We start from the raw sequence: 14,165 nt of genomic DNA, 5'->3' as shown, positions 1-14,165 counted from the left end.
TTTTTCATACAATTCAACTTACCCAATTCTACACCATATGAAGAAATCTCTCATGTATTTTAAAAAATGCCTTTCAGTGTTCTATTATGTATCTTTAGTTTTATTTATTTCTTTATTTATCTTAATAATATTTATTTATTTTTTATTATACTTTAAGTTCTGGCATACATGTGCAGAACGTGCAGGTTTGTTACATAGGTATACATGTGCCATGGTGGTTTGTTGCACCCATCAACCTGTCATCTACATTAGGTATTTCTCCTAATGCTATCCCTCCACTAGCCCCACAGCCCCCAACAGGCAATGGCATGTGATATTCCCTTTCCTGTGCCCATATGTTCTCATTGTCCAACTCCCACTTATGAGTAAGAACATGCGGTGTTTGGTTTTCTGTACCTGTGTTAGTTTGCTGAAAATGATGGTTTCCAGCTTCATCCAAGTCCCTAAAAAGGACATGAACCCGTCCTTTTTTATGGCTGCATAGTATTCCATGGTGTATATGTGCCACATTTTCTTTATCCAGTCTATCATTGATGGGCATTTGGGTTGGTTCCAAGTCTCTGCTATTGTAAATAGTGCTGCAATAAACATACGTGTGCATGTGTCTTTATAGTAGAATGATTTATAATCCTTTGGGTATATACCCAGTCATGGGATTGGTGGGTCAAATTGTATTTCTAGTTCTAGATCCTTGAGGAATTGCCACACTGTCTTCCAAAATGGTTGAACTCATTTACAATCCCACCAACAGTGTAAAAGCATTCCTATTTCTCTACATCCTCTCCAGCATCTATTGTTTTCTGACTTTTTAATGATCACCATCTAACTGGCGTGAGATGGTATTTCATTGTGGTTTTGATTTGCATTTCTCTAATGACCAGTGATGATGAGCTTTTTTTCATATGTTTGTTAGCCAAATAAATGTGTTCTTTTTAGAAGTGTCTGTTCATATCCTTGGCCCACTTTTTGATGGGCTTGTTTGTTTTTTTCTTGTAAATTTTTTTAAGTACCTTGTAGATTCTGGATATAAGCCCTTTGTCAGAGGGACAGATTGCAAAAATTGTCTCCCATTCTGTAGGTTGCCTGTTCACTTTGATGATAGTTTCTTTTGCTGTGCAGAAGCTCTTTAGTTTAATTAGATCCCATTTGTGTATTTTGGCTTTTGTTGCAATCGATTTTGGTGTTTCAGCCATGAAGTCTTTGCCCATGTCTGTGTCCTGAATTGTATTGGCTAGGTTTTCTTCTAGGATTTTTATGGTTTTAGGTCTTATGTTTAAGTCTTTAATCCATCTTGAGTTAATTTTTGTGTAAGGTGTAAGGAAAGTGTCCAGTTTCAGTTTTCTGCATATGGCTAGCCAGTTTTCCCAACACCATTTATTAAATAGGGAAATCTTTCCCCATTGCTTGTTTTTGTCAGGTTTGTCAAAGATCAGATGGTTGTAGATGTGTGGAGTTATTTCTGAGGCCTCTGTTCTGTTCCATTGGTCTGTATATCTGTTTTAGTACGAGTACCATGCTGTTTTGGTTACTGTAGCCTATAGTATAGTTTGAAGTCAGGTAGTGTGATGCCTCAAGCTTTCTTCCTTTTGTTTAGGATTGTCTTGGCTATACCAGCTCTTTTTTTGTTCCATATGAAATTTGAAGTAGTTTTTTTTTAATTGTGTGAAGAAAGTCAATGGTAGCTTAAGGGGATAGCATTGAATCTATAAATTACTTTGGACAGTATGGCCATTTTCACGATGTTGATTCTTCCCATCCATGAGCACGGAATGTTTTTGCATTTGTTTGTATCCTCTCTTATTTCCTTGAGCAGTGGTATGTAGTTCTCCTTGAAGAGGTCCTTCACCTCCCTTGTAAGTTGTATTTCTAAATGCTCACAAGAGAAAGCAGGAAAGATCTAAAATTGACACCCTAACATCACAATGGAAAGAACTAGAGAAGCAAGAGCAAACAAATTCAAAAGCTAGCCGAAGACAAGAAATAACTAAGATCAGAGCAGAACTGAAGGACATAGAGACATGAAAAGCCCTTCAAAAAATCAATGAATCCAGGAGCTGGTTCTTCTGAAAAGATTAGCAAAATAGACCACTAGCCAGACTAATAAAGAAGAAAGGAGAGAAGAATCAAATAGACACAATAAAAAATGATAAAGGGGAGATCACCACTGATCCCACAGAAATACAGACTACCATCAGAGAATACTATAAACACCTCTATGCAAATAAACTAGAAAATCTAGAAGACATGAATAAATTCCTGGACACATACACCCTCCCAAAACTAAACCAGGAACAAGTCGAACTCCTGAATAGACCAATATCAAGTTCTAAAATTGAGGCAGTAATGAGTAGCCTACCAATCAAAAAAAGCCCAGGACCAGACGGAGTGATAGCCACATTCTTGCAGAGAGGTACAAGGAGGAACTGGTACCATTCCTTCTGAAACTATTCCAAACAATAGAAAGAGAGGGACTCCTCCATAACTCATTTTATATGAAGCCAGCATCATCCTGATACCAAAACCTGGCGGAGACACAACAACAAAAGAAAATTTCAGGCCAATATCCCTGATGAATATCGATGCGAAAATCCTCAGTAAAATATTGACAAACAAAATCCAACAGCACGTTAATTAAAAAGCTTATCCACCACGATCAAATTGGCTCCATTCCTGGGATGCAAAGCTGATTCAACATATGCAAATCAATAAATGTAATCCATCACATAATCAGAACTAATGACAAAAACCACATGATTATCTGAATAGAGGCAGAAAAGGCCTTCAATAAAATTCAACACCCTTCATGTAAAAACACTCAATAAACTAGGTATTGATGGAATATATCTCAAAATAATAAGAGCTATTTATGACAAACCCACAGCCAATATCATACTGAATGGGCAAAAGCTGGAAGCATTCTCTTTGAAAACTGGCACAAGACAAGGATGCCCTCTCTTACCATTCATATTCAATATAGTATTGGAAGTTCTGGCCAGAGCAATCAATCAGGCAAGAGAAAGAAATAAAAGACATTCAAATAGGAAGAGAGGAAATCAAATTATCTCTGTTTGCAGATAACATGATTGTATATTTAGAAAACCCCATTGTCTCAGCCCAAAAACTCTTTAAGTTGATAAGCAACTTCAGCAAAGTCTCAGGATACAAAATCAATGTGCAAAAATCACAAGCATTCCTATACACCAATAATAGACAGAAAGCCAAATCATGAGCAAAGTCCCCTTCACAATTGCTACAAAGAGAATATAGTATCAATGTTTCTATTATCCACATGCCATTTTTGCATCTTTCTCACCTCCTTGACAACAGTGGCTTTCTAGTTTTTTGTTTTGTTTTGTTTTTTAACTTTTGATAATAAAGCTTTTTCTTCTAATGCTCCTGACTCACAGGAGGAAGAGGAGCATCCTCTTGCTATATATGGTAGTATTTAACTCACAGCTGTCCACCATTTCTAACAGCATCTCATTGTATGAAATTGACACTATTTACTCACCTGTCCTGCTTCCTTCATTTTATATCTTGCAACTCAGGGACCTTTCCTATATTCTTTCATGTTTCTATCTTAATGTTTCCATTTACTGTCATTTTGTTCTGTGATTTCAACAACTATGTGACAGTCAATTATTGTAAATGTGCCTTACACATAATCAAATTTCCTTGTACTTCATTTGTTTGTTTCTGAACATTGCTAGAAAGGCTTTTTAGAACCATGCAATGTCAGAGACTGGCTAGCTATTTACCTTCTATTTCCTCTTCTGTTTGGGCATGCAGGTAGACAGTATTTCTCAGCTTTCCTTGCAGTTATGTGCAGTCATGTAGCTGATACACAGTGAGAAAAAGTGATGTGTGCAATGAACCCAGACCTGGACCATAAAAACTCCTGCACATTATTCTGCATACTTTTACCCATCCATTCACTTAATGCTGATGAACAAATTAAAATGAGAAGTCAAGAGGGTGGAACTATAAAATAAAGGGTACCTGGAACTCTGAATTACTCCTGTGAGGAGAGGATCCTATTTATCAATGATTTGGATTTCATGTTAGCAAAAAATTTCTATTTTGCCTGAGCTATTGTACATTTTGGGGAAGCTTGATTATAGTAGCTGAAATTCTCTTAACTAATATATATACAAATTATTTACATTATGAATATATATTCAAAATGACATAACAATGTACTATTATTTAGAAGCCATTTTATTCATTTTTAATTGATTCATACTTTATTGAGTTTTGGAGCTTAGTTTTGGAGATGGTGATAAATTCCTTGAGAGGACAAGGTAGACAGAGATATTCATGATGAAAAATGGTATGTGCAATGATGGAGAATTAAATTGATGTGTGTTCAGAAGCCCATAAATTGTATAGTGGAGGAAACTGACAGGAGATAAAATTGGAATGTTAGTTCATGGCAAGGTCATGAAGAATCTTTTATGTTAGGCCAAAAATTAGTAATGAAGTGATCAGGACCAAGGAATGTAGCTTAGTTGTGTCCCCAAGTTCTTTCTGCCTGGCTCTTTAACTGCATTGCTCACATTATGTCATAATTTTTTGTATTTGTTGAAAGCTACTTTCTGAGGCTTAGCTCTAATAAGTCAGTGGTTCTAAACTGACCACAAAATTAATTCTAAGTCTTTTACCCTTAAGTTGCCCTGGTTCCTGTTTCAGTCTGTTGCACAGCTACTGTTTACTAGGACTGGGTTTCTCAACTTCCTTGGCACTATTGACATTTTGAGCTGCATTATTATTTATTGCAGGAGATTGTCCTGCACGTTGTAGGATGTTTGGCAGCATCCCTGGCCTCTATCCACCAATCCACTAGCTGACAGTAGCACTCTCCTCCACTCCTGTACTTGTGATAACAAAACTGTTTCTATACATTGTCATATATCCCCTGGGGGACAAAATTACCCTCAGTTGAGAAAAAAACTTGTTCTAGGATTTTATTGCCATATTTTTTGGAATTCATATCATGTCTTTATTTTGAAATATTTTTAATGGATCCTTTCTTGCTTGGGTCACCTGTTTTGCTCTTCCTTAGTGAATCACCTTATTTTAGTCAATTATATCCTCCTCTAGCTTCCTGAGAGAGACTGTGTGAGTGGTAAAATTATTGAAAAGTTGCATGCCTTCATTTGAACTGCTGTGTCTGATTAAAAAAATAGTTTGGCTGGGTATACAAGTCTTAGTTGGAAATCACTTTCTCTCAGAATTTTGAAGATATCACACCATTATTGTCTAGCTTCTAACATTTCTATTGAGGGTCTGATGTAATTTTGATTTCTGAATGTGGACTCTTCTGACTTCTCTTCAGAAGCTTCTAGGACTTCACTTTGTAATCAGTGTTCTGAAATTTCTCAGTGAGGTAGTTTTCCATGGGTCTTGTGTAACCATTGTATTGAACTCTTGATGATCCCTCTCAATGTGAAACTTCAAATCTTTCAGCCTGAAACATTTTTAAACATTTTCTTTATTTTTTTCTTCTCCATCTTCTCTCTTCTTTCTTTCTGTAATTCTAAGTGTTCAGTGTTTTAAGTCCTAGAATAATATTCTAATGTTTTCTATTTTTTTCTTTGTGAGAGATTTTTTCAACTTGTTTTTTACTTTTCTTATTGAACTTTATTTTACCATGATAATAATTGTATTTCCCAAGATTTTTGGGTTCTATTCATGACATTAAAACAAATTACCCCATGTTCTCATTTTATGAGTACAATAACTCTCAGCTCTCTGAAGTTCCAACATTTTTTATGAGAAAATTTAAAAATTCTTTTGCTTCTTTGATGAGTTTCTCCCCCTGCCACCCTTTGTTTACTTAAGTCTTCACCCTTTATGTTAGAGGCTTGCTTCAGTCCTCTAAATGAAGGCTTTCTTCTATGTCTGGCTATATGAGACTTTCCATTCAGATTTAAGACAGAGACAATAAAAATCTGATTTCAAGGTATGTGTGGCTGTGTGGGCCCTGTCTACTGGTGGGATTTACTCTATGATGCTTAATTTGGTTTTATCAGGAGATCTGCCTTTCCCAGTGTCTGCTGTTCTCCTATTCTCCTGGTACATTTCCGCAAGCAAAGAATACTCATTTATTAGCCAACTATTGATAGGCTGATACATCTTATGTAGCATTTTTAGATCCAGCTGGGGAAAGGTGACTGGGCTTCAATGATTGGTTAATGAATATCCTTTTTTTCCATGTGGTACCCTTTCCGTTAGCAATGTGCAGTGTCCCTGATTCCATGACATGGGGAGAGAGGCAGTGACCTGACAGAAAAGGGTTGGGAAAGTAATCTGTGGAATCTTGTACCTTCTTCTATAGCTAATCGATTCTCTTAATTTTCACACCACCCATTACCCTCTGTTGCAGAGGTACCTGGCTGCTGCCTTCAATGACTAAGCCTCAGTTAGCATTTTTCTGTGAAAAAAATGTCAGTTGCTTTCCTTACTGATAGTGTAGTTTTCAGCTTTGAGGTACTAAGCTTCTTACCTCAGTGATAGCTTGAATAATGTGCCCCAAAGATATCTAAGATCTATTTCATGGAACCTGAGAGAGTTACTTTACATGGCAAAAGGGGGCCTTGCATATGTAATTCAGTTAAGTATCTTCAGAGAGGGGGATTTTCCAGGTGTTTCCTAAATATAATCATGAGAGGAGGGTGGACAGAGATTTGACCACAAAAGAGGAAGAAGGTGATATGATGATGGAAACAGAGAATTGAAGATACTTTGCTGCTAGCTTTGAAGGTGGAGGAAGGGGTGATGAGCCAAGAAATGCAAGGAATGCAGCTCTAGAATTTGGAAAAGGCAGGGAAAGAGATTCCATCATAGAGCTTCCTGAGGAAGTGTACCCCTGCTAGCACTTTGGTTTAATCTATTGAAACCCTTTGAGCTTCTGATATCCAGAACTGTAAGAAAATAAATGTGCGCTGTTTTAAGTCACCAAATTTGAGGTATTGTTTAAAGTAGCCATAGTAAATTGATACACCTGCTTTCTAGTTTCCCAAACTCTGTTGTAGTACTGTCTTCTCACGTTGGCTTTATCCTTGTGCATTTATGTTTTTCAATCATCTTTCTTGTCTTTTTTGTAGAATTTAAGGCAGAATAACTAACTTTTTAAAAATTTTCTGTGTATTTTTGTTTAATTTTCTTTGTTTTTTTAAAAAATGTTTAAATGATGCCATGCACATGCAATTCCTTGAAGATGACTGCTAGATACTAAATGTATTGTTTTGTTTGCATTTTGTGGATTGTGATGAATGTCGGCTGTTTATTTACAAAGTCTGTTAGCACTCAGAATTTCCAAGAGGGAGTAGTAGATATGATTAAATAGAGAAAATATCAGAAATAAGAGAGGAATGCTACTATTTTTAATAACATTCAGTATTGTTGTGGAGCTATTTCTAAATGCAGTTAGGAAGGAAACATAAATAACTGGTATCAATATTAGGAAAAATTAAAAAAATTATCTTTATTTTCCAATGATATGGCAAAATACTTAACCTTCCTCTTGCAAATAACATTTTTAAAAGATTACAATTACAAACAAAAAGATTTCTGCAAAACAATATGCACACAGACTACAGATTTTAAATAACATACATAGATTACAAAATAAGGTAAAAATGCCTAATGTGTTTATTGGAATAAAAGATGGTACTAAAAGTAAAATGAAGACTGAAAGTCTACCAAAAATTAACTAGCTGATCTGAAAAAAAATCAGGTAAGTCTACTAAAAAGAACTACAGGACTGAAATTAGAAACTTAATAGAAAGGATATTTTTGCTTAGGGATAACTGAAGAAAGAACTAGTGAACTGAGGTATCAACAGAGTACACAGAAATATCAGAGAGAGACAAATAAGATAGAAAATATGAAAGGTTAAGTGGCATAGTGGATTGAGTGAAAAGTTCTATAACTAATAGCATATAAGAGGAAGAATAAAAGAGAAACAACATTAGAAGAGATAATTACAGATATTTTCTGGATTTTATGAAAGACAAAAGCCCTTCTATTTAGAAAGTTCAGTGAACCCCTCCAAAATGAATAGGTAATTCAGAGAAGATTGAATCAGGGAAATATAAATCTAAATTAAGATGGGATACTATTACACTCAATAAATTGCTTTAAAAAATTAAAGGCCTCAACATACCAAGCATTAGTAAGGCAACGGAGCAATGAGAACTCTCATAAATTGCTGGTAGACTGTCAGTTGATATGACTACTCAGAAAAGCAACTGGGGGCCTGACGCGGTGGCTCATGCCTGTAATCCCAGCACTTTGGGAGGCCGAGGCAGGCTGATTGCTTGAGCTCAGGAATTCGAGACAAGCCTGGCCAACATAGTGAAACCCCTTCTCTACTAAAAATACAAAAAATTAGCTGGGTGTGGTGGCGAAGGCCTGTAGTCCCAGCTACTCAGGAGGCCGAGGCAAGAGAATCGCTTGAGCTTGGGGGGCGGAAGTTGCAGTGAGCCAAGATCGGGCCACTGCACTCCAGCCTGGGAGACAGAGCAAGACTCCATTAAAAAAAAAAAAAAAGGCTGGGCGCGGTGGCTCATGCCTGTAATCCCAGCACTTTGGGAGGCCGAGGCGGGTGGATCACGAGGTCGGGAGTTCAAGACCTGCCTGGCCAAGATGGTGAAACTCCGTCTCTACTAAAAATACAAAAAATTAGCTGGGCGTGGTGGTAGGCACCTGTAATCTCGGCTACGTGGAAGGCTGAGGCAGAGAATTGCTTGAACCCAGGAGGCGGAGGTTGCAGTGAGCCGAGACCACGCCACTGCACTCCAGTCTGGGCGACAGAGTGAGACTCTGTCTCAAAAAAAAAAAAAAAAAAAAAAAAAAGCGACTGGGCAATGTCAATACAAATTAAAACTATATATACCCCTTGGCCTAGCAATCCTACTTTTGGAATTTAACCTATAGAAGTGAAAGCCTCATGCTGGGCACGGTGGCTCATGCCTATAATCCCGGCACTTTGGGAGGCCGAGGTGGATGGCTCATTTGAGGTCAGGAGTTCCAGACCAGCCTAGTCAACATGGTAAAACCTTGTCTCTACTAAAAATACAAACATTAGCCTGGCGTGGTGGTGCATGCCTGTAATCCTACCTACTCGGGAGGCTGAAGCAGGAGAATGGCTTCAGCCTGGGAGGCGGAGGTTGCAGTTCATGGAGATCGAGCCACTGCAATCCAGTCTGGGCGACAGAATGAGACCCTCTTGTCTCAAAAAAAAAAAAAAAAAAAAAAAAAAAGAAGTGAAAGCATCAATACATAAGATGTTTGTTTCAGCACTGTTCATAGAGGCAAAATGAAAAAGAAGAAAAAAAAAGAAAGAAAAGTATTAATGGCTAAAACTTCTTATGTAATATCATTCCATTTATGTAAAATTTTTACATGAGTGCATAAGGGATTCATGAAAAGAAAATCACAACATATTAATAGTGTTTATTAAATCTCATGATAATTGGATTTCCATTGATGTTTTACTTTATTATTTTATGTATTATTGGAAGTCTATCAATAAACATGTGTTGTAAAATATATATTAGGTTGGTGCAAAAGTAATGGCACAAACTGCAACTACTTTTGCACCAATCTAATAATTAAAAATAACATTATGGGGGTTTTTTGTAGAATAATGAAGCAAAACCAAAAAAGTGAATATTTTATCAGGGCTAATATTTTATTTGCTATGCTGATGTGAAGCATCACGTATGAAGTTTTATTAAAATTGAATCTTATAAAATGAGTCAGCAATTTTTATCATGATTAATAAATATACAATTATGAATCATCTTCCAAGGTCACAAAGAACAGAGGCAGAATTTCCAAAATAGTTGACCATGCCCGAAGATGCCTTTTCTTATCTGGCAAAGAGAAAGCCACTTCAGAATAAAGGTTACAATCATATGCCTTGGCATTCACAAAGCCACTGATGTATTCCTTCATCAATTCAAATTTAAGCTCCATTATAATGTAAGTGCATAAGGGCAAAGGCTTCATTTATCTCATTCCCAGTCATCTGCCCAGTAGCTAGCACAGTGACTGCCTCATCACAGAAACTCAATAAATATTTAATAAAGGAGGGAATGAACTTACACATTCATCCAAGACATAACTTTTTTACTTTTGTTATTTTATTATTTAATATTCACTCTAAATTTTCCCATACGTATTTGTTTAGTAATGACTATGTTCAAAGAAGTTAAACATGAATATTAGAGTAAGTAACTAGAACAAATACTAATTTGAGTCTTTCTATGTATCAGGTATTGTTCTAAGGGCTTTATTTATATTAGCTTATTTAATAATCGGAGAATATTACTCCAACTTTACAAATGGTAATGCGGAGGCACTTCATTTGTCTAAGTTTCCACAACTACCAAGTTGCAGACCCAGGATTTGACTCCAGGTAATCTATGTCTACAGTCAACCTTTCCCTCCAATCATATACTAAATCTCTAAGAATATAAGGATGCTGAAAACTGCTAGACCAGACATTCACAACTGACACAGCTTGGTTTTATTTTCTCTGCTAATGAAGGGTTGGCTTCATTGTTACTTAAGCAGCCTCAGAGCAGTGCAGTCCATGGAGATAGTTTGGTTAGGTAGGAGGTAGAACAGATGTGAACAACTTGCCTTGTAAACCAGTTGGGTAAAGATAATTAACAAGAGAAAAACGAAATGATGCCTTGAGTCTAGGGAGACAAAGGGCAAAGGCCAGATCAGAAGGCCAGAGGCCCATGTGAGGATAGATTTGAGAGGATGAGGTTTGACTAAGGTGAAGAGGAGCAGGCAGATGTGATTGACCCTGTACACAGAAGTACAAACCAGAATATTGGTGTTTAGACAAGAAAAAGAGCTCGGCCTAGGGAAATTGCCAAGAATTAAGTATCAGTTCTATGTAACAGCAAGAAATGGCACAGCAGGAGATGGGCTTGTTTAGACATTTACTAAAGAAGTGAATGAAGTTCCATATTCATTCGATACATAATTTTCTTGATTTGTGATCCTCTTATTATTTAATATTGACTCTAAAATGAATATTTTAGCATCAGCAAAGAGACTGATGCTCAACCAAAGATTTTTCTGAGGTACAACCTTCTGTATCCATTTAGCCCTAGGTAACAACTGGCTTGGAGAGCAGATAGGTCTGAGAGAGGAGGTAGAGTTGTCAACAATAGTTGAATGGAGCTCAGGGTTGGGGAAACAAAAAGCTAAACATGTTTTCCCATAGACTTAATTTTTATTCATTTTTACTTTTAAAACATTTACCAAGTAATCTGTGTTCACTGATAAGCAAAAGAAGAGAAGGAACCTTTACAATTCTACCACCTAAAATATTGCTATTAAAAAATGATGTGTAACCTTGTGTTAAAAATATTGCTATAAAAATTTTCAAACATTCACAAAAGTAGAGTGATTAGTAAGTTGTGCTCTCATGTACTCATTACTCCGCTTCAACATTCTACCATTTCTGTTTCTTCTATTCGCCTCCCACATCTCTTTCTCTCTGTCTATCCCTCTGTCTGTCCTTCTCTCTCACTCTCTCTCTCTCTCTCACACACACATGAAAACAGAAGATTGTCATAGCTCCCAGAAATGTCAAAAATGTCCTTTTCTTAATACAATACTATAATCATCAATAAATTAGCATGTAAATAAAACTATATTTAAATCAAGATTTTTTTCTGGTTCATATAATTCCATTCTTTGGCTATATCATGCATGCATTGTTTATTGCATTTTATTTATGCTTACCTTGTTTCTAATTTTTTGAAATAACACTGCCATACATGTGTGTATATGTGTATATATACACACACATAATATTTACTTCTTGCTGCCATATATATATATATACACATACACGCACACACACATATATATATATACTATTTTAGTTATGTCATTAAACTGCTAGATGTGGAATTGCTGGGTCAAAAAATATTTGTATTTTTATTGTCAAATAGCACTCCAGAATTTTTTTTTACCCTTTCACACTCTCACCAACAGTGTGTTGGGTAAGCATGTTTCTTCATTGCCTCAGTAATACTGAGTAATTTATGTTCTTTTTAATATTTTTTCAAGTTGATTTTTTAAAGTAGTCTCTTATTGCTTAAATGTACAATTCTTTGAATATTATTGATGTTAGATATATTTATATTTATGAGCCAAAAGACATTTCCCACAGCAAATGAGAAATGTGACTGAAATTAAAAAGACTCTTATGTATTCTGTTTTGTTTCATTACACTTAATCCTTGTGGGTTTTTCTAGATACATTTAACAAAGGAAAACTGCATTCCAAAGATATGTGTTTATTATTTAATTTGCTGAAGAAGAATGAATTGCTTTAAAGAAGATTGCTTAGTAAATTAGATTAACTATATTTAGCATTCATTTCCACAGACGTTGAGGTTTATATCCATCAGATGTAAATGTTACCTAAATTCATTCTTGCTTTCAATTGTTGTCACTTTATGATTGGGTGTTTTCCATTTTAAAAGACTCATTATTTGAGTAGGTTACATAATGGTTTGATAGTTTATAGAATCTTAAAATCTAGTCACTAGAGCACTAAGTTGCATCTATATATAACCTCATTTCAAAAAAATAGAGCTGTGTTATAGTAAAAGGAAGTATAAAAATATCATCTTTTCTAATGTCTGTGTGCTTTTTTTTCCCCCAGAAAGATAATTAATGTATGGCTGTCAACGTGTTATGCCTTGAAAAGCTTTGCTATCAATGTCTATTGATAGAGGAGGATTCAGAGCATGCTCAGCTAGTTTTTTCTGATATACGAATGCCAAAAATAGATTCCAGCAATGAAAGTCATCAGAGAGGGAATAATGGAAAGAGAGAATCCAGGCAAATTGTTCTATACTTTGCATAGCTAAAAGGCCAGATGGATTAACTAGATTTTTATTTTCAGAACCACCCACTGCAGGATATTTAACTAAGTTTCAAGTCAAATACGGTACTGCCAAATTAAGTTTAACAGCGTCTAGAACCAAGTCTGTTGCTTTATCCAGGCATTCCCCGGTTCTTCATCTTTGTGGCGCTGCCAGGCCTGTCTGCCATCCAAATTTTTGCTCAGAATCTGCCCTTTTTATACTGGTTTAGAGACTATTATAATTCTCTAACTCTTCCAGGCAGAGATGAAATAAAGAATTAGAAATGGTGCATGCTTGGGAAATGTTCCAGATTCTACTGTTGACTTCTGTTATCTAAGATTTAAGGCAATATCACTTTGGTGGAAATATTAAAAGTATTGTCCTTATCACTTTTATCTCATTTTGAAGTATGCTATAATGACAATCATACTTATCACAAAGATCCAGGAAAATTGATCCAAAGTATCAAACACATTAGTGATATAATTCATTGTTTAATTTTAGGGAATATTTATTCTAATGTTGTTAATAATCAATGTTATAGAATCATAACCAGGATTAAGCCATACAAATTATGTAAAACAGAGACTACTCATAAAACATTTACATCCTTGCTAAATTCCTCTTCTTCACTTACTACTTTAAATGACTTCCATTTTTCATTTGCTGGTTTTTAAATGTGCCATTTCTCTTTTTTCATTTTCTCTATCTCTCTCATCCCTGTATTTAGAATACTTAAATTCTGGCAAAAAAAAAAAAAAAAAAAGGAAACTAAATAGCCAAAAACCTCATAAAAGTCTGTACTTCGCTATTTCCTGACCAACAGGAAAAATGTTGGACTATGATTCTGGCTAGAAAAGACAAATGGCTGTTGAAAATGATACAGTTCATTTCTGTAGGCCCATTGTCTGGAGAGAGGTTCTGATCCTTATGTTAACATCCAAACTTTATAGTATACATCAGAATGAAAGGAAATGCACTAGGAATTGATTGTCATCAGTTAAACCCAAAGAGATGACTGGTAAAATGTTAATATAATTTCACTCAATTTGGCTAAGGTTGATTGTTTTTGTGAGATTGAGTCACTTTTCTAAAGAACTTTGTAATAAACCAGTTTTATGCCAGAAAACCAGGAAGGAATTGACTTTGGCAACCGTATTCTTTTGGCTTTCTATGCCTCCTCATATCCCCTTTAAGGAATATGGCATGGAATTGCCCATTTTGCTTTCTCTGCTCCAGTCAATTTCTATTAGTT

The 14,165-nt window shown here is 35.7% G+C and overlaps 1 long non-coding RNA gene across 1 annotated transcript in view, besides 1 other annotated feature; it reads left to right on the top strand.

Annotated features, from left to right (window-relative positions):
• The window catches only part of MACC1-OT1 (MACC1 3' UTR overlapping transcript 1), a 221,446-nt gene that overhangs the window by 113,790 nt on the left and 93,491 nt on the right, over positions 1-14,165 (top strand). The window lies entirely within an intron of this gene.
• Positions 6,614-6,703: an enhancer, noted in NCBI's record as "active region_25685". NCBI's record gives its function as "activates an Ori minimal core promoter by ATAC-STARR-seq in GM12878 lymphoblastoid cells {active_cell/tissue: GM12878}" and the evidence as "EXISTENCE:reporter gene assay evidence [ECO:0000049][PMID:35858748]".

This window comes from Homo sapiens, chromosome 7 (assembly GCF_000001405.40).
Source record: "Homo sapiens chromosome 7, GRCh38.p14 Primary Assembly".
Classification (NCBI taxonomy): domain Eukaryota; kingdom Metazoa; phylum Chordata; class Mammalia; order Primates; family Hominidae; genus Homo; species Homo sapiens.
The sequence above is the reverse complement of the archived record's forward strand: the minus strand, read 5'-3'. Positions and strand labels throughout refer to the sequence as shown.